The 23,837-nt window shown below is 39.6% G+C and overlaps 1 non-coding gene across 1 annotated transcript; it reads left to right on the top strand.

Moving 5' to 3' along the window:
• The first annotated feature begins 21,354 nt into the window (after positions 1–21,354).
• Positions 21,355–21,434, top strand: LOC124901826 (small nucleolar RNA U2-19). Its single transcript, XR_007060658.1, has one exon. It is a non-coding gene; the product is annotated as a small nucleolar RNA U2-19 (small nucleolar RNA).
• Positions 21,435–23,837: the final 2,403 nt, after the last annotated feature.

Raw genomic sequence — 23,837 nt, 5'->3', positions numbered from 1 at the left:
GAACAAACGCTGAGCAAATGTGTTGCTAACATACCTGGCTTTCAAGAAATACTAAATAAGTACTTTAAGCTGAAAGGAAATGACACTGGATAGTAACTCAAATTTATATAAAGAAAGAACAAGCACTGGTAATTACATAATTAAATATGATGTCTTCTCTTAACTGATTTAAAAGATAATTGCATGAAATGATAATTATCAAAATATATTGCAAGGGTAATGACACATAAAGATTAATATGTACTGCAGGGACAAACAGAAAAGTAATCATTTTTTAAAAAGATCTAATATGTACCAATAATACCACAAAGTGGAGGTCGGGGGAGAATAGAGATATATTGGAACAAGGAAATAAAATGAGAAAGTAACGGCTGGGTGCGGTGCTTCACGCCTGTAATCCCAGCACTTTGGGATGCCGAGGTGGGTGGATCACCTGAGGTCAGGAGTTCGAGACCAGCCTGGCCAACACCGGCAAACCCCGTTTCTACCAAAAATACAAAAATTAGCCGGGCGTAGTGGCAGGCACCTGTAATCCCAGCTACTCGGAAGGCTGGGGCAAAAGAATCGCTTGAACCCAGGCGGCAGAGGTTGCAGTGAGCCGAGATCACGCCACTGCACTCCAGCCTGAGCAACAAGAGTGAAATTGTCTCAAAAAAAAAAAAAAAAAGACAACTAAAATCCATAGGCAGATATGAAAATCAGAAATGATAGATATGTGGATTAATATAAAAGACTATATGTCTCCTTCTTCTTAGCTTTTTACTTTGTTTATTTAAATTAATTAATGTATTTATTTATTTATTTTGAGATGAAGTCTTGCTCTGTCGCCAGGCTGGAGTGCAGTGGCGCGATCTCGGCTCACTGCAGCCTCCGCCTCCAGGGTTCAAGTGATTCTCCTGCGTCAGCCTCCGGAGCAGCTGGTATTACAGGCACCCGCCACCGCGCCTGGCTAATTTTTGTATTTTTAGTAGAGATGGGGTTCCGCTGGTCTCGCACTCCTGACCTCAAGTGATCCGTCTGCCTCAGCCTCCCAAAGTGCTGGGATTACAGGCATGAGCCACCTCGCCCGGCATCTCTTAGCTTTTTTAAAAGACATAAAGTTGTACAAAGAAATAATTATAGAGACAATAATAGCCCAGAAGAGTGGGGAGAGAAGTCAGCTATATTAAAACAAAGTTTATCCGTTTTACTTTCACTCCCTTAGACCACTCCCCTGTGGCCACGGTGCAGGGATGACAAGAGGCTACATAGAGGACCTTTCCGGAGACTTCTGTTGGAGAAAACACCATCAGTTTGCATTAAAAAAAGAAAGAGAGACACGGCACTAAATGAAAAAAGGCCCTTAATTCATCAGTTTCTTTAAGGCAGGAAGCAGAAATTCAGTTGAGAAAGCTACTCAGCTGCAAACGTGGTGTTTGGTTTGTTTACCAAAAAGAAAAGATGTCATAGAGAGCATAGCTGACCGTTGAGAGGGCAGGGCAGGAGAACTAATAAGAAAAATCGATTAGGGAACCACTAGTAAGTTAAATTAGCTGACTGCAGGAAATGAGGCCAATAAACAAAAATCAGTAGTGTTTCTACATACTAGCAATACAAATTGAAAAATGAAATTAAAATACCATTTTCTAGCATCCAAATACATGAAGTAATTAGAGATAAATTTATCAAATTATGTGCAAGACCTATGCACTGAAAACTACAAAACTTTGCTGAGAAATATTATAAATATATCTCAGGAAATATTTAGACATATATAAAAATAAATAGAGATATATATATTCTGCTCAATATGAAGACTCAATATGTTTAACATATTAGGTCCCCCATATTGACCTTGGAATCAGTTCAATCCCAACCAAAATCCTTATAGACTTTTTTTGGTGGAAATTTTTATAAGCCAGTTCAAAATTTAATACAGCTGCGCACGGTGGCTCACGCCTGTAATCCCAGCACTTTGGGAGGCTGAAGCGGGTGGATCACCTGAGCTCAGGAGTTTGAGACCAGCCTGGCCAACATGGGGAAACCCCGTTTCTACCAAAAATACAAAAAATTAGCCAGGTGTGGTGGCGTGGGCCTGTAATCCCAGCTACTCAGAAGGCTGAGACACAAGAATCGCTTGAACCCCGAAAGCAGAGGTTGCAATGAGCCGAGATCATGCCACTCCACTCCAGCCTGGGCGACACAGTGAGACTCCATCTCAAATAAATAAATAAATAAATAAAACCAAATTTAATACAGAAGCACAAAGACCTAACAAGAGCCAAAATAATTTTGAAAGAGAACAATATAATTTTGAACATTTTTAACTATCTGATTTCAAGATTTATTATAAAACTACAGTAACCAAAAAGGTGAGGTATTGGTATAAAAATAAATATAATAATTGAGCAATTAAACAGAATAAAGTGACTACCGGTAAATCCACATACATATGAACAATTGATTTTTGACAGAGATCAAGGTACTTCATGAGAAAAGGATCATTTTTTCTTTTTCTTCTTTTTAAAACAAGTAATGCTGAAACAACTGGATAGAAGATACCAGTTGTAAGAAAGAAAATGGGTCTTGACTCATAATATACTTCACTACACCAAAAAAATAACAAAAGCAAAATTAACTTGATCAGAGACTAAATGAAAAATCAAAGCCACAATACTTCCAGCAGGAAATATTTAAGGCAGGCAAAGATTTCTTAGGACATATAAAAGGTTATAAAATATAAAAGAAAATGTTATAAACTTTAGTAAGAACCAGCTTTTCAAACAATACCACAAAGAATACGATAAAGCAAGCTATACACTAGGATAAACAAAATTTGGCTTCATTTGTTTAGTAAATTTGAAGCTTTGCATATCCTAGGATCCATCAATTCTGTTACTAAGGATTATGCCCCTGGCATATAAACGCACAAGGCTGGGGCTAGGGGATGAGTTAAAGAGTCATTTTGCAAAATGTAACACAGGGAAAGTACAAATTCAGCCAAATTTATCACATTTTCTATATTCACAACTACATAAGTACAGTGAACACTGATTTCGGAGCAAAGACTGAGGCATTGTAAGACTTTGTTTCATATAAGATTCCATTAAATTAAATAAAGAGTATTTACTACTCATTTATTTTATAAAAATGTATCAAAACAAAGGCAAAACAGGTTATTAAAATTAAGGGTCTGGATTAATCTATTTCCTGAAAAGGTGATAATTTACAGTTTAAATATGTCATTTTGACAACATTTCCAATTTTTAAGCATTAGTCGGTATTTCTTCATATCAGAATAATACTGAAGACTGCATCATGATTTGGATAGTCCCATGAGATTTTTCTTTTCATGTGATTTAGCCTGTGTACTCAAAGTAGGCTTTCCATTAGCAAAAGAGTGGAAAAAATAAGACTCCATTCAGTTATTTCGGATCTGGAAAAAGTGACAACAGGTAAATACAGGTAGCTTTAGAAGATTCTGTCTCTTTGAACTTAGGACTAAATTGATTGTTTTTAAAAAATATTTTCTTTGAAGAAGTGGAAACCTTTTTCAGGCACACAAATAAACTATGTGCATTCCAAATATCAAAAACATGAATGTAGAGCTGTTGAGGTTGAAGCGGAAGAAGGGTGGCCCACAGCTGAGCTTTAGCCACTGAAAATGGCCCTAGAGGAACTTCAGAAAATTCTTGGGCTGCATGGAATGCATCTGAAAGCCCATGCTCTACATTAGATCTAAAGACCACCTCCGCCTCCAGCACTGACAGTATCCATGTAATTTAAGATAGCACCTGTGTTACTTTCTTTTTTAAATCACACTCCCCCATTCCCACCCCACTAAGAAAAAAACAAAACCTAAGAACTTGATAATAAGATCTTTCTATTTCTCCCTAGTCCTTCATTTAGGGCCACTGACCTTCACCTTCGCTTTCTCATGCTTGTGCCCTCTAATTTCCAGGCTCTTGAAGTACGCCCTAGGCAAGATCTTACTGGTGTGTGTATGAGTGCATGTTGGGTGTAGTTTTTCTCAACTGACACTGAAAGTCTCCTTCTTTGACTTCTCCTCTCTTTCTAATTTCCAATTCATAATATTCATGCCTCATCTAGACTTTAAAAAGAAAAGAGGTAAAATGAGCTCACGCCATAAAGATGCCCTAGTTTCAAGGTGTGCACGTCTCCCCCCTCTCCCCAGCCCCCACCAGCTGATCTGGAAGACACTTTTCTCCACACTCCACGGAGCACAGACGGAACTAAGGACCTGCGGCAATGATTCTGTCCCTGATGACTCCTGCCTTGGGCTCCAGGCCAATATGGATTGTTATGACTGCCCTTGTGGTGTACCTTGTACCATCTCTGCTGCTAGAACTTGCTTTCAGAAAAGAAACTTTGGTTAAAGAGTAAGTACACCTAATTTAAAAACCATGAGAACACTTTGTTTGATTGTTTGTTTGTTGTCACTCGCAGTGCCAATGGGAATATTTTCCCACGTCAGTCTTTCTGAGGGCAAAAATGACCTGGGTTTTCCTATTGCATAAACTTTGACTAGTTTAAGTTCAGAAATACTGGAAGCCACTTTCCGCAGACCATAGGGATGCATGTTAATAATGCAACTCTTTTTGCTTACTGAAAGGGAAACTCCCTTTAGTTTTGCCATGGGATGTGGTGTCTGCTGCTGTCAACTCTGTTGAAGCAGTGTGGTTCACTAGGAACAAGTTGAAGAGAAGCTAACTGAGAAGCCAATAAAACCAATTTTAAGAACATTGCAACATATGATACATTGAGCACCTTGCAAATACTGTTCTTTCTTTGCTACACATCCTTATTCTTGTGTACGTATCTATACTTATAGATACACATTTTTTTTTTGAGATGGGGTTTCACTCTTGTTGCCCAGGCTGGAGTGCAGTGGTGTGATCTCGGCTCACTACAACTTCTGCCTGCTGGGTACAAGCAATTCTCCTGCCTCAACCTCCCAAGTAGCTGGGATTACAGGCACCTGCCACCACACCCGGCTAATTTTTTGTATTTTTAGTAGAGATGCTGCTTCACCATGTTGGCCAGGCTGGTCTCAAACTCCTGACCTCAGGTGATCCACCTGCCTCGGCCTCTCAAAGTGCTGAGATTACAGGTGTGAACCACCATGCCGAGCCTAGATATGTATTTTTAATTAATAGGCAATTTTTGGTGCAGTTTTAGATTTACAGAAAAATGAGTGGAAAGTACATAGAGTTCCCATACACATTCCCACCCCCATTTTCCACTATTATTAACATCTTGCATTAGTCGGTATGTCTGTTACAATTGATGAGCCAATATTAATATACTACTATTAACTAAAGTCCACAGTTTACATTGGGTTCACTCTTTGCATTGTACCTTCTATAGGTTTTGACAAATGTATAATGACATGCATCCACTATGGCAGTATTATACAGAATGGCTTCACTGCCCTATAAATCCCTTGTGTTCCACCCGTCCGTCTCTCCCTCTACCCCCCTGAACCCCTGGCAACCACTGATCTTTTTGCTGTTTTCATAGTAAAAAGATGCCCAGGCCAGGCATAGTGGCACATACCAGTAATTCTAACACTTTCAGAGGCTGAGGCGAGCAGATCATTTGAACCTAGGAGTTCAAGACTAGTCTGGGCAACATGGTGAAGGCCCATCTCTACTAATAATACAGTTAGCTGGGTGTGGGGATGGCGCCTGTGGTCCCAGCTATTTGGAAGGCTGAGGTGGGAGGATTGCTCAAGCCAGGGAGGTCAATGCTCAGTGAACTATGATCATGACACTGCATTCCAGTTTGGGCAATAGAGCAAGACCTTGTCTCAAAAAAAAAAATGAAAGTCCAGAATTCTCTTTCTTATCCGGAATGTTACAGTTGTGAGTCTTTCTCTACTGTATTGCTTATTCTGTGCACATTTTCATAAAAGAGTTATACTTCTGAGTTAAAACCTCCATGATTTTCATAACAATGTTGGTTGTGAGAATTAAGGAAGAATCTTTTATGCTTAGAGCAACATCTACTTTACAGGCTGAAAGTGGGGAAGAAATGTGGTAACATGCTTAAAATACTCAGAACACTTCCTGGAACATAGTCCGTGCTCAATAAATGGTAGCTGGTGTTAGCCTTGGCACAACTGCGGATTTCCCTTCCTCTGTAAAGTCTAATTATAAGAAAGAAGGTGCTCTTGGACTTTGAAAGGGGAATTTAAAGAGGCAGTGGATCAACCATGAAGACCTCTACCTGTGGAGTCAGGTCATCTGGGTTCAGAACCCTAGTTTTACTAGTTACTAGCCATTACTTGGGAAGTTACCTGATCCCCCTTTGAGATGGATTTCCTCCCGTAAATGAGGAGACTAACAATTCCTCTTTAAGCGGTTCTTCTTTCTCAGGCCTGATACTCGGTCTGCACCAAAACAAGATGAAGGCTCTATTATGAAAGTGTTCAAGCCCATGCTGTGGACTGTCCAAGGAAATCCTGGCCCCTTTATGTTCTAAGAGTATATGGTGGAGTCAAGTTATGTAGTCTTTCCTTGTCTCTGTTTCTGTTACCAAATAATAGCTTTAATAATCAGAAAAATGGCCGGGCATGGTGGCTCAAGCCTGTAATCCCAGCACTTTGGGAGGCCGAGGCAGGTGGATCACCTGAGGTCAGGAGTTCCAGACCAGCCTGGCCAACATGGTGAAACCCCGTCTCTACTAAAAATACAAAAAATTAGCTGGTCATAGTGGCAGGTGCCTGTAAATCCCAGCTACTTGGGAGGCTGAGGCAGGAGAATTGATTGAACCTGGGAGGTGGAGGTTGCAGTGAGCTGAGATCGCGCCATTGCACTCCAGCCTCGGGGACAAGAGTGAAAACTTTGTCTCAAAAAAAATCAGAAAAATGGAAAGAATATTCAAGATGGGAAGGTTTGGAGAAATGAGCGAGGCATTTTATGACAGAACATGTGGGATGTTTTCCTATTCCTGGAAATCCCTAAACTACTGAATGAGCATCATTGGGATTTATTCTTGGGTAGATACAAAATCAGACCTCTGAAAATAACCTCTCTGAATTTTTCTCTGCATAAAACAAACAAATGACATACATCCCACTTTACCGTCAGGGGTTTTCTTAGATGATATAGAGTATGTCTGTGAATTCAACGTCAGTTAAACATCATCCTAGATGCTATGGGTGAGAAAACCAGTAAGACAAGATTCTTATTCTCCCTTGGCTTCTCCAGAGGAGGGAAATAAACTCAACAGTAATTATGTGCAATGAAGTGTCAGAGATGCCCTGACAGAGCTTTGTGGATGGCTTGGGCACAAATGAGAGCAACTGTCTCTACCTGGGGCTAATGAGGACCGACTTCCTAGAGGTGGTAACACTCAAATTGATGTGTGAAAGTACTTGGCTTAAGTGATTGGCTCGGGGTGTGGTGTAGTTGGAAATGAACTGAAATCCTGAGGTATCCCAGGCACTTTTGGATGCCATTATCTACCTTTGAACTTGGAGAGACTAGTTGAACGGCTGGAGATCAGAATTTCATAAGTCCTAAGGCCTGGTGATAAAATTTTTATCACTTTGCTTAGTTGATGAAATTTTGTCATTTCATTCAGTGTTTATTTTTAAATTTATATATATAGAGAAAGATTTTTATATATAAATGTATATATATAACATATAAATATATATAATATAATATATATATATATATATTATATATATATAGAGAGAGAGAGAGAGAGAGACCAGAGGCTGATCTCAAACTCCTGGCCTCAAGTGATCCTCCTGCCTTGGCCTCCCAAAATACTGGGATTACAGGCATGAGTCACCACACCTGGCTGGTTATTCAGTGTTTATTAAAGCATATTTATTTCATCCACTAATAAATATAAAAGGACTGATAGAATGAGAAAATTATTTTTTAACCTCCAATGTAAAACTTGATTTGAGTCATTAAAAATAAATGCTTAGGGCTGGGTGCAGTGGCTCATGCCTGTAATCCCAGTGCTTTGGGAAGGCAAAAAGAGAAGATCACTTGAGCCCAGGAGTTTGAAGCTACAGAGAGCTATGATGTGCCACTGCACTCCAGCCTGGGCAACAGAGTGAAACACTGTCTCGAAAAATATATGTATGTATGGATAGATAGATAGATGATGATAGATAGATGATAGATAGATAGATAGATAGATAGATAGATAGATAGATAGATGCTTAAATCATTAGGTTACAAGTTCTGGGGGAACAGAATACTCTTGCTGTTTTAAGGTATCGGCCCACAGATAACTTTTTTTTTTTTTTTTAGACGGAGTCTTGCTCTGTCGCCCAGGCTGGAGTGCAGTGGCGAGATCTTGGCTCAGTGCAAGCTCCACCTCCCAGGTTCACGCCATTCTCCTGCCTCAGCCTCCCGAGTAGCTGGGAATACAGGTGCCCGCCACCACGCCTGGCTAATTTTTTTGTGTATTTTTAGTAGAGACGGTGTTTCACCGTGGTCTCGATCTCCTGACCTCATGATCCACCAGCCTCAGCCTCCCAAAGTGCTGGGATTAGAGGCGTGAGCCACCACGCCTGGCCCAGATAACTTATTAATTGCAAAAGGACAAAATACATCTTTATAATAGAGAGTTCACCATATTATCCAAGTGGTTGAGCTTGACATTGCTGCTAGTGGAATAGCCTGACGTTCTGCCTCCTGAACTTATGCAGTGGGAGGGAAATAGCATCACCTACAAGGTGTTCTTGCCAGAAATGTTCAAATTGAGCCTAACGACGAGGAAAAAAATCTGAATATGGGGTGTTCTGCAGGTCTCTTCAAAGACTTTATTATTATAAACCAGGGAAGCAATGGTACAAATCAAAATATGAGGAGTCTGAACATATACAGCAGCCAAGTGTAATTTATCAACCTTGATTGGATCCTGGATTAAAAAACAAATCTAACAATAAAGGACATAATGGAACAATTGAGGAAATTTGGGTATGGACTGCGTGTTGGATGTTACTATTGAAGTAATGATTTTTTTTTTCCCCAAGATGGAGTTTCGCTCTTGTTGCCTAGGCTGGAGTGCAATGGCGCGATCTCGGCTCACTGCAACCTCTGCCTCCCAGGTTCAACTGATTCTCCTGCCTCAGCCTCCGGAGTAGCTGGTATTACAGGCATGTGCCACCATGCCCGGCTAGTAATGATTTTCTAAGGTGTGGTACTGGTACTGTGGTTCTGTAGAAGAATGTCCTGTTCTTGAGAACTGAAATACTTAGGAATGAAGTGTCCTGATGTCTGCAGCCTAATTTTTGGACAGTTGAGAAAAGGGAATTTCTGTCTATGTGTCCGTGTGTGTGTGTGTGTGTGTGTGTGTGTGTGTGTGTGTGCATATGGAGAGAGAGCGAGGGGGTTGGAGGAAATAGGGGAAGAGATATCAGGTATGGCATAAATGTTACTGCTTAATGAATCCAGATGAGGTTATAGAAGTGTGTCTTATTTTGTTCTTTGACATTTTTCAATGACAAAAAATGCACTTCTTAAAATATGGTTTAAAAATTGTCCTAATATTAGATTTTGCTTATTAATATACATAAGTTTATCTAAGTACACATATAGGCATATAGTGTCTACCAATATAAATAATTTGCTTTGTATGTTTTTAATCCAATGGAAAATTTACCTTAAGTCTTGTTACAATAATACCCAATATTAGAATAGCACAGTGCTTAGTACATAGTTATGCTCAGCCAATTCTTGTAAGACACTCCGGGTGCCAATAAGCTTTTTTCCAAAACAAGTTGTGTAACCTTCTCTTTCCCCAATAAATTCTAATCTTTTCTTGTTTTTCAGACATACCAAAAGTCACCCTAGTTTGTAGGTATGTATGTACCAGATTGCAATCCTTTTTTTTTTTTTTATCTCAGCCCACTGCAACCTCCACCTCCCAGGTTCAAGAGATTCTTTCTCCTGACTCAGCCTCTCAAGCAGCTGGGATTACAGGAGCCTGCCACCACACCTGACTAATTTTTGTATATTTAGTAGAGACAGGGTAAACTATGTTGGCCAGGCTGGTCTTGAACTCCTGATCTCAGGTGATCTGCCCGCCTCGGCCTCCCAAAGTGCTTGGATTACAGGCGTGAGACACCACTCCCGGCTAATCCTTCCTATATATAATTCCCAAATAAAACCTTTTTACCTTAAGGTAAAAGCTTATATTTTTTACATTGGAAACTGACTAATGGATATTTACTAAAATCTTTGGATTAAGTTTCAGAATGAATATATTGCTAAGATAATTGGGTAGTTGGTGTAAATGAATGAGGTAGAAGTCCAAGGAGATTGGTTGAGGCAATAAAGAGAATGGGGCTGGTATCCATGAGGGAGAAGTTTCCTTCAGGTGTTGTTGGAAATCTACAGCATGTGAAAGCCCTATTAACATGTCTTTCTGGAAATCATATAGAGAGAATATTGCTGCACTCAACCTTCAGGGCTGCCTACTTTATATAATCCAAAATGCTAGTGTGTTTCTAGGCATTGTGCTATTTTGGAGAATTACAGAGATGTCCTCTAAATGCTTTATATGGGTCCCAGCAAAACAAGATGTCACACTGAAATAAGGCAATTTAAGAAGAGTAGTTAATAAAGGGATGATGTACAAAAGCATGGACAGTATGTGGAAAAATTACTAGGAAGAGAACATGTATTAGTCCATTCTCACACTGCTATAAAGAACTACTGAGACCAGGTAATTCATAAAGAAAAGAAGTCTAATTGGCGGACAGTTCTGCAGGCTGTACAGGAAGCATGGCTAGGGAAGCCTCAGGAAACTTACAATCATGGCAGAAGGCAAAGGGAAAGCCAGCATGTCCTGCATGGCTGGAGCAGGAGGAAGGGAGAGCACAGGGGGAGATGCTACACACTTTGTTTTTTGTTTGTTTGTTTGTTTTTTGAGACGGAGTCTTGCTCTGTCACCAGGCTGGAGTGCAGTGGTGCCACCTCGGCTCACTGCAACCTCTGCCTCCCGGGTTCAAGCGATTCTCCTGCCTCAGCCTCCCGAGTAGCTGGGACCACAGGTGTGCTCCACCACACCCGGCTAATTTTTTTTATTTTTAGTAGAGACGGGATTTCATCATGTTGGCCAGGATGGTCTCGATCTCTTGACCTCGTGATCCACCTGCCTTGGCCTCCCAAAGTGCTGGTATTACAAGCGTGAGCCACCGTGCCTGGCCCACTACACACTTTTAAACAACCAGATCTCATGCAGATTCACTCACTATCATGAGAACAGCAAGGGGGAAATCCACCCCCATGATCCAATCACCTCCCACCAGGCCCCTCCGTCAATACTGGGGATTCCAATTTGACGTGAGAGTTGGGTGGGGACACAGAGACAAACCACATCAGCACGACACCACAGTGCTGGTAGCAGCAGGACTCTGCTATTCATCAAAGGCTGAAAGGGAGAGGAGAGGGAACAGCTGGTGAAATTTTAAAGAAAAGAGGGCTGTGTAGACAAAGCCACTTACCTGGCACTGTATCTTTAGTTTATGGGTCCAGCTTTTCCCTGTGACCCCAAAAAGAGGGACCCGAGGAAATAAGTACTTCAACTTTATTGTCTTTCTTCCTGCTGATTTCCTGCCAGTGGTCCCTATGTAGTATGCCCATCTGGAAGCAATGACATAGCCCCTACAGATGAGCCTCCAAGGGCACAGAGCAGGTGAAGAAGGGTAGAGACTGGATCTGGAGAGGCGCATGAAAGATCTGTACACTGTGAGATTCTGGATGGGGTATGGAAATTCTCCCTTATTCTGTTTTTCTACCTTATTTTGGAGATAATAGCACTTTTCAGTATCTTCATAACTTCTTGGAATGACTTAACGAGGTTTGTTTTGTTGATCAGATCTGACTGATTAAAGAGACACTATAAAGTGGTTCCAAAGAACCTTCTTTAGAGTAGAAAGAAATAATTATAAGAGACCAAAAGCCACTGAACTCGGATGAACTAGTAAGTCAATAGTGATCCACTGGCTGTTCTTGAACCCTTACAGGATCAGTCTCTAAGCTGGCTGCAGTCTCTAAGTTGGCTCACTCCCTTCCCCACAGTGCTGGGGAATCTCGCAAGGAAGATGGTATGGCAGGCGGCTGCCTGAATTAGACTCCAGTACAGTCAGAATTCCCTTGTGGGTGACTTTGTCAATGAACCCCATTCTCTTTATCCCCAGTCCCAGGATTAGGAAAGAACACAAGTTCCAGAAAAATCCAAATGAGCTCCTCAGCAGGAAAGGCTGGGAGACGCCTGGCAGATGGATCAAGATATCTTAAAGCAGTCAGATAAAAGTTGAATTATTTTAAACCAAATGGCCATGTAGTCCATGGGAAAAAAGAGGCAGAGCTGCAAACAGTGACAGCTCCTGCCAAGAATGACTAAGCAGGGAACAAATTATGAAGGCACCTACTGTGAGTCACACAACCGACTCCACAGCCTTGTGTGTGTACCTGCACAATCAGCAGGAACTTTTGAATATGGAAGATAATGACATTGATTTATGGAAGACAAGATACACAGCAATACAAAATCCACCAATAGAAATGTGCGATCTGTTTTGGCCAAAATCTCATCTTACATTTTAATCTGACCCTTAGATCAAAAGAACTGATGTAATCAGTGCATTAATAAGAACGCATGCTAGAAATACCTGAAATAGAATAACAATGTATATGATAGAATGGAAATGTGTCTATATTTGTTTTGCTCTGTATACCTCTACATTGTTTGAATCTTTCAATGAAAATTTCACGTAGCATTCATGTAATTAAAAAGAAATGTTTCTACATCTCTACAGACACTATGCAGAATGTACAGAACGTAGTGGTTCTTCATTCTGATTGTGCATCAGAATCACCTTTGTTAAAATTTAAAATTCTAGAGGCCTGGATATCACCTCAGTCCTAAAGAATAAGAATCTACAAAAATAGACAGACCTGCATGGAAGTTTTTGTTTGGTTTGTACTGCTCCACAAGCAATTCTGACAGACATGGAGATTGAGGACCACCAGGGACATGGTTTCATGTTCTCATTTTGGATTGGACTGTTTGCCGTGGTTTTGCATCATTACGTTGCTGAGCTGGGGCCCACACATACTCAGATCCTGGTCCCACTGCTTATCTCCTCGGAAACTTCATATACACAAGTTAATGTCTTCAACCTCATTTCTAAAATCAGGGTAATAGACTGATCTCATCACGATATCATGAGAATCAGGCGAGATGACACAATCAGAACATTTAGTACAGAATGTGGCCCCTGGTAAACACTCAATAAAGGTTAATATTATTTAGCTATATAGTCTTCCACATTCTGGTATTTACATATTTATAACAAAATAATTATACAGATGTTCCTTGACTTACAGTGGGGTTACATCCCAATAAACCTGTTGCAAATAAAAAACTATCATAAGTTGAAAATGCATTTAATACCCTGATAAACCCATTGGAAAGTAACAAAATCATAAGTTGAGGACTATCTTTGGTTGTATGGACATATTTCATTATGATGATAAGCTCCACGTTGCATTTTACAGATTCAGAGGTTTGGGGATTTTTCTCACACATTTTCATATCCATCAACTAAAAAGCAATACTTGTGATGAAGAAGTCACATTACTGAAATTATAAAATGGTAACTATCACATATATGAGAATAAAATATATTGTCCAACTTTATATTAGAATTCACTTTAAATAGTGGCAGGTTCTTTGGCTCAAATCAGTGATTCACTTCATAAAGCATCGATGAGAAAGTTTTCTGCCTTTTTAAAATTTTTTTTTGAGACGGAGTCTCACTCTGTCACCCAGGCTGGAGTGCAGTGGTGTGATCTCGGCTCACTACAAGCTCCACCTGCCAGGTTGAAGCAATTCTCCCATCTCAGCCTCCCGAGTAGCTGGGACTACAGGCGTGAGCCACCACGCCTGGCTAATTTTTGTATTTTTAGTAGAGACAGGGCTTCACCATGTTGGCCAGACTGCTCTTGAACTCCTGACCTCAAGTGATCTGCCCGTCTCGGCCTCCCAAAGTGCTGGGATTACAGGCATGAGCCACTGTGCCTGGCCGAAAGTTTTCTGCTTTTATGATTGCAGCAGTAGTCGGAATTGTTTGATTACCTGTTTTGAGTTGCTTTTGTTTCTGAAGGACTTCAAATCCAGTATGATTGAAAAAGCTGACTAGGGAATTAACTAGGACTACCTGACGTTAAATTCTAGCTTTGACAAGTATTCACTGTGTAACATTGGACAAGTTATTTAACCTCTCTGGGCCTCAGGTTCTCATTTTTAAAATGGTGATAATAGTACCTACCTTGGACAGGCACGGTGGCTCACGCCTGTAAGCCCAGCACTTTGGGAGGCCGAGGCGGGCAGATCACCTGAGATCGGGAGTTCCAGACCAGCCTGACCAACATGGAGAAACCCCATCTCTACTAAAATTACAAAATTAGCCGGGCGTGGTGGCACATGCCTGTAATCCCAGCTACTCAGGAAGCTGAGGCAGGAGAATCGCTTGAACCCGGGAGGTGGAGGTTGTGGTGAGCCAAGATGGTGCCATTGCACTCCAGCCTGGGCACCAAGATCAAAACTCCATCTCAAAAAAAAAAAAGAAAAAATAAAAAAGAAAAAATAGTACCTACCTCTCAGTGTTGCTGTATTAATTGCATTGTTTAGTAAAATGCTCAGACCAGAGCCTGGTGCATAATACAGTGCTATGTTGAATGTTTACTATTTTTATTATTTATTCATTCTAATTGTAGGCATGTGTAGACTGACAAAGTAAGAGTCTGAGTTACAGAATGGAATTAAAGAAGCAAGCATAATTTTATTCTTTACAAGAATTCATGGTATACTGCTAACGTTAGGCAGCAAATTTAAAGCTTTATGACATATGTGGTAATTCCCTTAGGGAGTTTAACCTTAGTTATGAAAAATAAAAGGCTCTGATCAATTTCTGTTCTATCAAACTCTGTTTCAAACTCTTATCCATAAACACCTTCACACTAAGTCCCTTATTTATACCTGCACCACAGCCCTGATCTGTGTGTAAAAAATAACCATAAGGGACAGTGCAGTACCTCAGGACTATTAGGACCATGGTATACGAGGTTCATTGTTGATGGAAGCATCATGTGGTGCATGACTATACATTAATAATTAAAATGTAAACTAATGTGTACACATGGACACACAGTGTGGAATAATAGTCATTGGCGACTCAGAAGGGTGGGAGGTTCGGGGAGGGTGGGAGATGAGAAATCACCTTTTGGATACAATGTGCATTATTCAGGTGATGGACCCACTAAAAACCCAGACTTCACTGAGCAATATATCCATGCGTGATGGTTAATATTAAGTGTCAACTTGATTGGATTGAAGGGTGCAAAGTATTGTTCCCGGGTGTGTCTGTGAGGGTGTTGCCAAAGGAGATTAACATTTGAGTCAGTGAACTGGGAAAAGCAGACCCACCCTCAATCTGGATGGGCACCAACTAATCAGCTGCCAGCATGACCAGAATACAAGCAGGCAGAAGAACGTGAAAAGACTAGACTGGCTTAGTTTCCAAGCCTACAACTTTCTCCCACTCTGGATGCTTCTTGCCCTTGAACATCAGACTCCAAGTTCTTCAGCTTTGGGACTCGGACTGGCTTCCTTGCTCCTCAGCTTGCAGACAGTCTATTGTGGGACCTCACCTTGTGATGGCGTGAGTCAATACTCCTTAATAAATTCCCTTTTATATAGACATCTGTCCTATTAGTTCTGTCCTTCTAGAGAACCCTGACTAATACACCATGTAACAAAATTGCACTTGTACTCCTCAAATGTATACAAATAAAAAATGAAAATAACTAATTAAAATGTGACTCGACATCACTAGGAGTGATTCAGATAAAGTGTTATGGGATTGTCAGAGGAAAGAAAATTTAGCGGGGTAATAATGGGCGACTGATGAACAAAGACTTCATCAGAAAATGGAATTTATATTGGGGTTTAAAGAATGAGTAGAATTTGGATATATGGAGATGAGAATTTTAGGCAGAGAAACCCGTGGCACAGAGTTGAAACAGCCAAGAATAAGAATGCAAATATTGATGAGTAAGGTCAGAAACATGGGCTGGGTATGTTTGGGGTCACAGTTTGAAATTGTAAACTTTGACAAGACAAGACATGAGTTCATCTTAAACATGATGATTGTATTGTAATGCATGTATAAGTAAAGACGAAGTGATTTTTTTAAGATTTGTTATATGATCTACTAAGCAGAATAGTCACCTTTAACCCAGAACCATTTTCATGCCTGAAGGACATGGGTTGAGAGTATTTGCATTATCAGAACATTTGCTGACTGAGTTTCCTTGAAATTAGGTTGGATGAAAAACAACTTTCAGAATCTTCTCTTATTATGTAAAACTTCATAATATTTGTACTGTAATATGTATATGAAGAGAAACCAAGATTGTAAGTTTGATCTTCAACTGGAGATCAAACTTACTACCCCCTGACTATTTCTCAGGATTCAGAATAAGATCTATACAGTTAGAAAAAGGGAGTAAAAAGCAGCTGAGGGGATTTTTATTTTAATTTGGTGGGGCTGCCGGTGGTAGGATGGGGGAAGGTTTGGTATAGAAACTTGTAGTGGAAATAATTTTAGCTTTGGAATCAGAAAGTACTAGCCTCAAATTCCAGTTCCATCAACTGTGTGGTCGTGGGAAGTTCCATTATTTTTCTGAGCTTCAATTTCTTCTATCAACCTATTAAATGGAGGATTAAGAGGGTGCCTAAGTATAGTTGTGCGTACTGAATTTGCACACATCCAGAATATGTAGTAGCGTCTAGTGGAGGTATTGCAGGAGTAATACAGGCATAATAGAATTGTGGTAAGGAGTCATCCTCATGGGACAAGTGAATCATGATACTCTCAAAACCTTAAATTCCTCCCCATTTCCTATTAAAGAGATTTCAAACTCATATTTGGCAATAGTATCTTCTGATTAAATAATAACTACTTTTCGGGATATCCCCTCCATTTTATTCCTTTTCAATAATACTTTTCTTCCATTTAATAATATTCTCAAAACCCACTACACTCTTTTCTATTTCTGTGTTTCTCTTCGTAATGTTTTCATGTTCCTGGAATTCCCTGCTTTTCCATATTTACTTATACCCCAAACTTACTGGTTCTTCCAAGTTGAATCCACAGTCCACCTATTCCATGAAGCCTTCCCTGATTCTCCCTTCCCTGACTGAAAAACATCTTTCTTTCACCAATTTGCCCAGCGTTGTTCCTGCCTCTGCCTCCACCTGAGTCTTCTGCCTTGGACTACTGGTTTTATTTACATGTCTTATCCTCCCTTTCCCATTGGGAGCAGGATGGAAACAAGATCCACATATGAGTTACCATTGTATTCCTCACAACATTGAGCACAGGGCTCTGCACTTAGTTGGTGTGCTGGATTACCTAGGGTCAACTTGGCATCACTGCTACCCCTCTCTAAGGTCTCCACTGCAGGAGAAGCTGAGAATGACATTTCCCAAAAACCCATTGCAATGGGAAGCACGTGCACAAGATTTGGAAGAGAAAGGGGTCATTATTTTCTGGAAGCGGCTGCAGCCACATGACCAAGATACAAGATTTGAGGCAGTTTCCAGGTGAGCTTCCTGAAAATCACCTGCATCACTCCTGCAGACTGAGAGGTCAGAGGGAATCTCCCAGAGGTTCTTTCAGGGGTCTTTTGTGCAAGCTCTTGAGAACCTCATAGTGCAAAGGCTGAGATTGTTGCTGACAGCCTTCTTCACGTTGGTTTCTGCAGCCTTCTAACAACTGGGTAAGCCTCTAATTCCCTGCATTGAAAATATTCATACTTGGAATATATTGAGAGGCTTCTGCTTTCATGCCTAATCCCTGACTGACTTGTTCAATAAAGATTTGCAGAATGAATGAAAAATAATTCCATCATATTAAAAAGTCTGTAGATATTCCACTGATATTTATCATGCAAGGGGAAGAGGCTAATACTAATTGTGAGTTATGTGGCAGGCAGTTTCCTATGCATTATTTACCACCTTCCAGTAATCTTGATAGATCATTATTATTGTCTCGTTTTATATATGAGGATATGGAAAAATGAGAATCAAACAGATACACCAACTCAAAAAGCATTGCCTTAACGCTTTACCTTGTTACCTTAGCGTACATCAACTCAGTGTATGCTTTTGTGGATAATCACGAGCAATTTCAAGAGCCATTTGAAACTCAATATTAGCCACATTTTTCAGAGTTTTTCCTACTTACCCAGAGCAATAAATCCTGAGTTCCTCTCAGTTATACCACTGAATGGACTACCTATAGCGAATAGACTCAATTAAAATATTTGAGTCTTTTTTTTCAATTATTTAGATATTATATACTTACCTATTGCTAAGAATGAGCATTTTTTATGGCAGGTGAAACGGCAATAGTAGAAATAATTTTTTAATATCTAAAATTTGGGGTGAGGGTGGATTTAAAAACTCAGAATGGAAAGGACTTGTATCATAAAAGACCAAGCAATATACTTTACCAGTTATAGTTCAATTACCCACCTGTTTAGCTCTTTGGAACATGTCCAATAACTACTTCTCCTTGACATTATGTAAATGCAGAAGACTTTGATCCTATATACAATCACCTGAAATACTTTTTAAAGAGTTATTGTTCATTGTAAATTATGCAGAATGTTTCAGAGAACATAATTACGTGTGTGCTTATAATCATTATAGTCATTCAATAAGGAATTTTCTATATTTAACAATAAAGTTAATTTATATGTTTGATTTAAAAAGGAAACAGACAAAATTATCAAAATTACAATGGTAGGAAAATGTAAAATACGTAGTAATATATTTTAGAAAAAATATCTTTCAAAAAGGATTAATGTTCATTAGTTAATATTTAACATTTTGCTAGAAAATTGGTAACCCATAAAAAGATTAAAATAACTAGGAATATAGCTAACTGGGGAAGTAAATGATCTGCAGTAAGAATTACAAAACACTGCTGAAAGAAATCAGAAATGACACAAACAAACAGAAAAACATTCCATGCTCATAGATAAGAAGAATCAATATCGTTATATAGGCCATACTGCCCAAACCAATTTACAGATTCAATGCTATTACAATCAAACTACCACTGTCATTTTGCACAGAATTAGAAAAAACTATTCTAAAATTCATATGGAACCAACAAAGAGCCTGAATAGCCAAAGGAATCCTAAGCTAAAAGAACAGCGGCATCACACTACCCAATTTCAAACTATACTACAAGGCTACAGTAGCCGGAACAGCATGGTGCTGGTACAAAAAGAGACACATAGACCTAGAGAATCCAGAAATAAAGCTGCACACCTAAAACCATCTGATCTTCAACAAAGTCGAACATAACATACAATAGAAAAAGAAGACCCTATTTGATAAATGGTGTTGGGATAAGTGGCTAGCCATATACAGAACGTTGCAGAAGATTGAAACTGGACCCCTTCTTTCGTAATATACAAAAATAACTCAAAATGGAATAAAGACTTAAATGTAAGACCTAAAACTATATAAGCCCTAGGAAAAAATCTAAGAAATACCTTTCTAGACATAAGCCTTAGCAAAGATTTCATGACAAAGTCTCCAAAAGCAGTTGCAACAAAAGCAAAATTTGACAAGCGGGACCTAATTGAACTAAAGAGCTTCTGCACAGCAAAAGAAACTATCAACAGAGTAAACAGACAACCTACAGAATGGGAGAAAATATTTACAAACTATGCGTACAACAAAGGACAAATATCCAGAATCTATAAGGAACTTAAACTCAATGAGAATAAAAAAAACACTTCATTTAAAAAGTGGGCAAGAGACATAAACAGACACTCCTTAAAAGAAGACATATAAGGAGCCAACTAACATGAAAAAATGCTCAACATCACTAATTATCAGACAGATGCAAATTAAAACCACAGTGAGATAGCAGCTCACATCAGTCAGAATGGCTATTACTAAAAAGTCAAAAACTAACAGATGTTGGCAAGGCTATGGAGAAAAGGGAATGCCTATACACTGCTGGTGGGAATGTAAATTAGTTCAGCCACTGTGGAAGGCAGTTTGAAGATTTCTCAAAGAACTAAAAATAGAACTACCATTTAATTCAGTAATCCCATTATGGTTACATACCCAACAGAATATAAATTATTCCACCAAAAAGACACATGCACTGTATGTTCACTACAGCACTGTTCACAATAGCAAAGACAGAGAATCAATGTAGGTGCCCATCAACAGTGGACTGGATAAAGAAAATGTGGTATTTATACATCATGGAATACTACACAGCCATAAAAAAGAATGATATCATGTCCTTTGCAGCAACACAGATGCACCTAGAAGTCATTATCCTAAGCGAATTAATACAGAAATAGAAAATCAAATATCACACATTCTCACTTATAAGTGGGCGCTATATCTTGGTTATACACATACATAAAGATGGGAACAATCGACACTGAGGACTCTAAAAGGAGAGAGGAAGGGAGAGGGGCAAGGCTTTAAAAACTTCCCATTTGGCACTTGGTTCACTATCTGGGTGAAGCCCAAACCTCAGCATCACACAACATACCCTTGAAACAAACCTGTGTATGTACCCCCCAAATTGAGAACAAATTAAAAATATTTTTAAAGTCTCATTTTTAAAAGCAATATGATCAATTAAAATAACTTAAATAACTTACCAGCGACAATCCATAATTAAAATATTCAGAAAGCAAGCAAGTCATCTTGTACTACCAGATTCTTTTTGAAGAATGACATTTATAAAACGAAGAGAACCAATTTTACCTGCCTGTACTAAAGGAAAATAAGTTCAAGAAATGTCCTAGTTATAATTTTCAGTTAGCCCAACATTAATATTGCCCAGAGTTTAGTGTGATAGCCACTTTGAAGCCCTCGTAAATTCTGTCACCTTGGATGAATCACAACTGATTGGTTTATCAATGCATATAATTCAGATTGTTCTGAATAAAGCTGGCTTCCCTGAAGGACCCAAGATAACTTCATGAAATAAATGTATCACATCCAGTTAATAGATGAGGCAAAGAAAGTTATTTATTTCAAAAGAGAAATCTTATTCTTTTGTGGTAGAGAAAAAGAAAGATTGAATAGAAAATAAAATTGCTAATTAAGAAAAAGGAAAGCCACCTATACTTGTTTGCTCATGAAAAAGAAACCTAGCTGAGAAGAGTGGCAGGCAAGAAACACAGTGGACTAGTATGCAGGAAGGAGAATATGGGAATAGAAAAGTTTATTTGTTCTCTGAGATCTGCTCTTACTGAAGTGGATCGATGATGAAAATAAGCAAGTTTGAGCATCAGAAGACCTTCCAGTCTACTTGATGCATGAGCTCTACAGTTTTAAGAAGCAAAACTATAAAACAGTGTAAGAAGATATATTTTCCCTCATCTCTATTTGTAATTTCATCTATTTATCCTTAAAAGCCACTCTTACAAAAGCATAAACTTTATACATATTTGCATGGTAGGCACATTCACATATTGCTGTTGTGTTTTTCATTTTACAAGAACAAAGTATGTTAATTAGTGGGAAAATGAAAAGGAACCATAGACAAGCAAAAGGCAGAAAATAGAAAACACTCAGAACTTCACTCACAGACCACTGTCTTCAACTTTGTGTGCCCACTTCTAAGGCCTATCCTTTTCTTAAAAATTCTTTAATTTTAAAATGCATACATAAATATGCATTTCCACATGAACATGATCATATCAAACATATTTTTTCAAATGTTATTTATTTCAAAAGAGAAAACTTATTTCTTTGTGGTAGAGTAAAAGAAAGATTGAATAGAAAATAAAATTTCTAATTCAGAAAAACAGGTCTAGGTGGCTGGCAAGATGGCCAAATAGGAACAGCTCCAGTCTGCACCTCCCAGCGAGATTAACGCAGAAGACAGGTGATTTCTGCATTTCCAACTGAGGTACCTGGCTCATCTCATCGGGCCTGGTTAAACAGTGGGTGCAGCCTATGGAGGGGGAGCCGAAGCAGGTTGGGGTGTTGCCTCACCCAGGAAGCACAAGGGGTCAGAGAACTCCCTCCCCTAGCCAAGGGAAGCAGTGAGGGACTGTGCCGTGAGGAACAGTGCATTCTGGCCCAGATACTATGATTTTCCCATAGTCTTCACAACCCGCAAACCAGGAGATTCCCTCAGGTGCCTATGCCACCAGGGCCCTAGATTTCAAGCACAAAACTGGGCGGCCATTTGGGCAGACACTGAGCTAGCTGCAGGAGTTTTTTTCATACCCCAGTGGCACCTGGGACACCAGCAAGACAGAACCATTCACTCCCATGGAAAGGGGGCTGAAGCCAGGGAGACAAGTGATCTAGCTCAGAGAATCCCACCCCCATGGAGCCCAGCAAGCCAAGATCCACTGGCTTGAAATCCTCACTGCCAGCACAGCAGTCTGAAGTTGACCTGGGATGCTCAAGCTTGGTGGGGGGAGGGGCATTTACCATTGCTGAGGCTTCAGTAGGCGGTTTTCCCCTCACAGTGTAAACAAAGCTACCAGGAAGTTCGAACTGGGCAGAGCCCACTGCAGCTCAGCAAAGCTGCTGCAGCCAAACTGCCTCTAGAGATTCCTCCTCTCTGGGCAGGGCATCTCTGAAAGAAAGGCAGCAGCCCCAGTCAGGGGCTTACAAATAAAAGGAAGAGAGGAAGTCAAACTGTCTCTGTTTGCAGATGACATGATTGTATATTTAGAAAACCCCATCACCTCAGCCCAAAATCTCCTTATGCTGATAAGCAATTTCAGCAAAATCTCAGGATACAAAATCAATGTGCAAAAACCACAAGCATTCCTAGACACCAATAATAGACAAACAGAGAGCCAAATCATAAGTGAACTCCCATTCACAATTGCTACTAAGAGAATAAAATACCTAGGAATACAACTTACAAGGGATGTGAAGGACCTCTTCAAGGAGAACTACAAACCACTGCTCCATGAAATAAAAGAGGACACAAACAAATGGAAAAACATCCCATGCTCATGGATAGGAAGAATCAATATCATGAAAATGGCCATACTGCCCAAAGTAATTTGTAGACTCAATGCTATCCCCATCAAGCTACCATAGACTTTCTGTACAGAATTAGAAAAAATTACTTTAAATTTTATATGGAACCAAAAAAGAGCCCATATAGCAAGACAATCCTAAGCAAAAAGAAAAAAGCTAGAGTCATCATGCTACCTGACTTCAAACTATACTGCAAGGCTATAGTAACCAAAACAGCATGATACTGGTACCAAAACAGATACATAGATCAATGGAACAGAACAGAAGCCTCAGAAATAATGCCACACATCTACAACTATCTGATATTTGCCAAAGCAGACAAAAACAAGCAATGGGAAAAGGATTCCCTATTTAATAAATGGTGTTGGGAAAACTGGCTAGCCGTATGCAGAAAATTGAAACTCGACCCTTTCCTTACACCTTATACAAAAATTAACTCAAGATGGATTAAACACTTAAATGTAAAACCTATAACCATAAAAACCCTAGAAGAACACCTAGGCAATACCATTCAGGACATAGGCATGGACAAAGACTTCATGACTAAAACACCAAAAGCAATGGCAACAAAAGCCAAAATCCACAAATGGGATCTAATTAAACTCAAGAGCTTCTGCACAGCAAAAGAAACTATCATCAGAGCGAAAGGCAACCTACAGAATGGGAGAAAATTTTTGCAATCTATCCATCTGACAAAGGGCTAATATCCAGAATCTACAAAGAACTTAAAC

This window comes from Homo sapiens, chromosome 7 (genome assembly GCF_000001405.40).
Source record: "Homo sapiens chromosome 7, GRCh38.p14 Primary Assembly".
In the NCBI taxonomy this organism is placed as follows: Eukaryota; Metazoa; Chordata; class Mammalia; order Primates; family Hominidae; genus Homo; species Homo sapiens.
The sequence above is the reverse complement of the archived record's forward strand: the minus strand, read 5'-3'. Positions and strand labels throughout refer to the sequence as shown.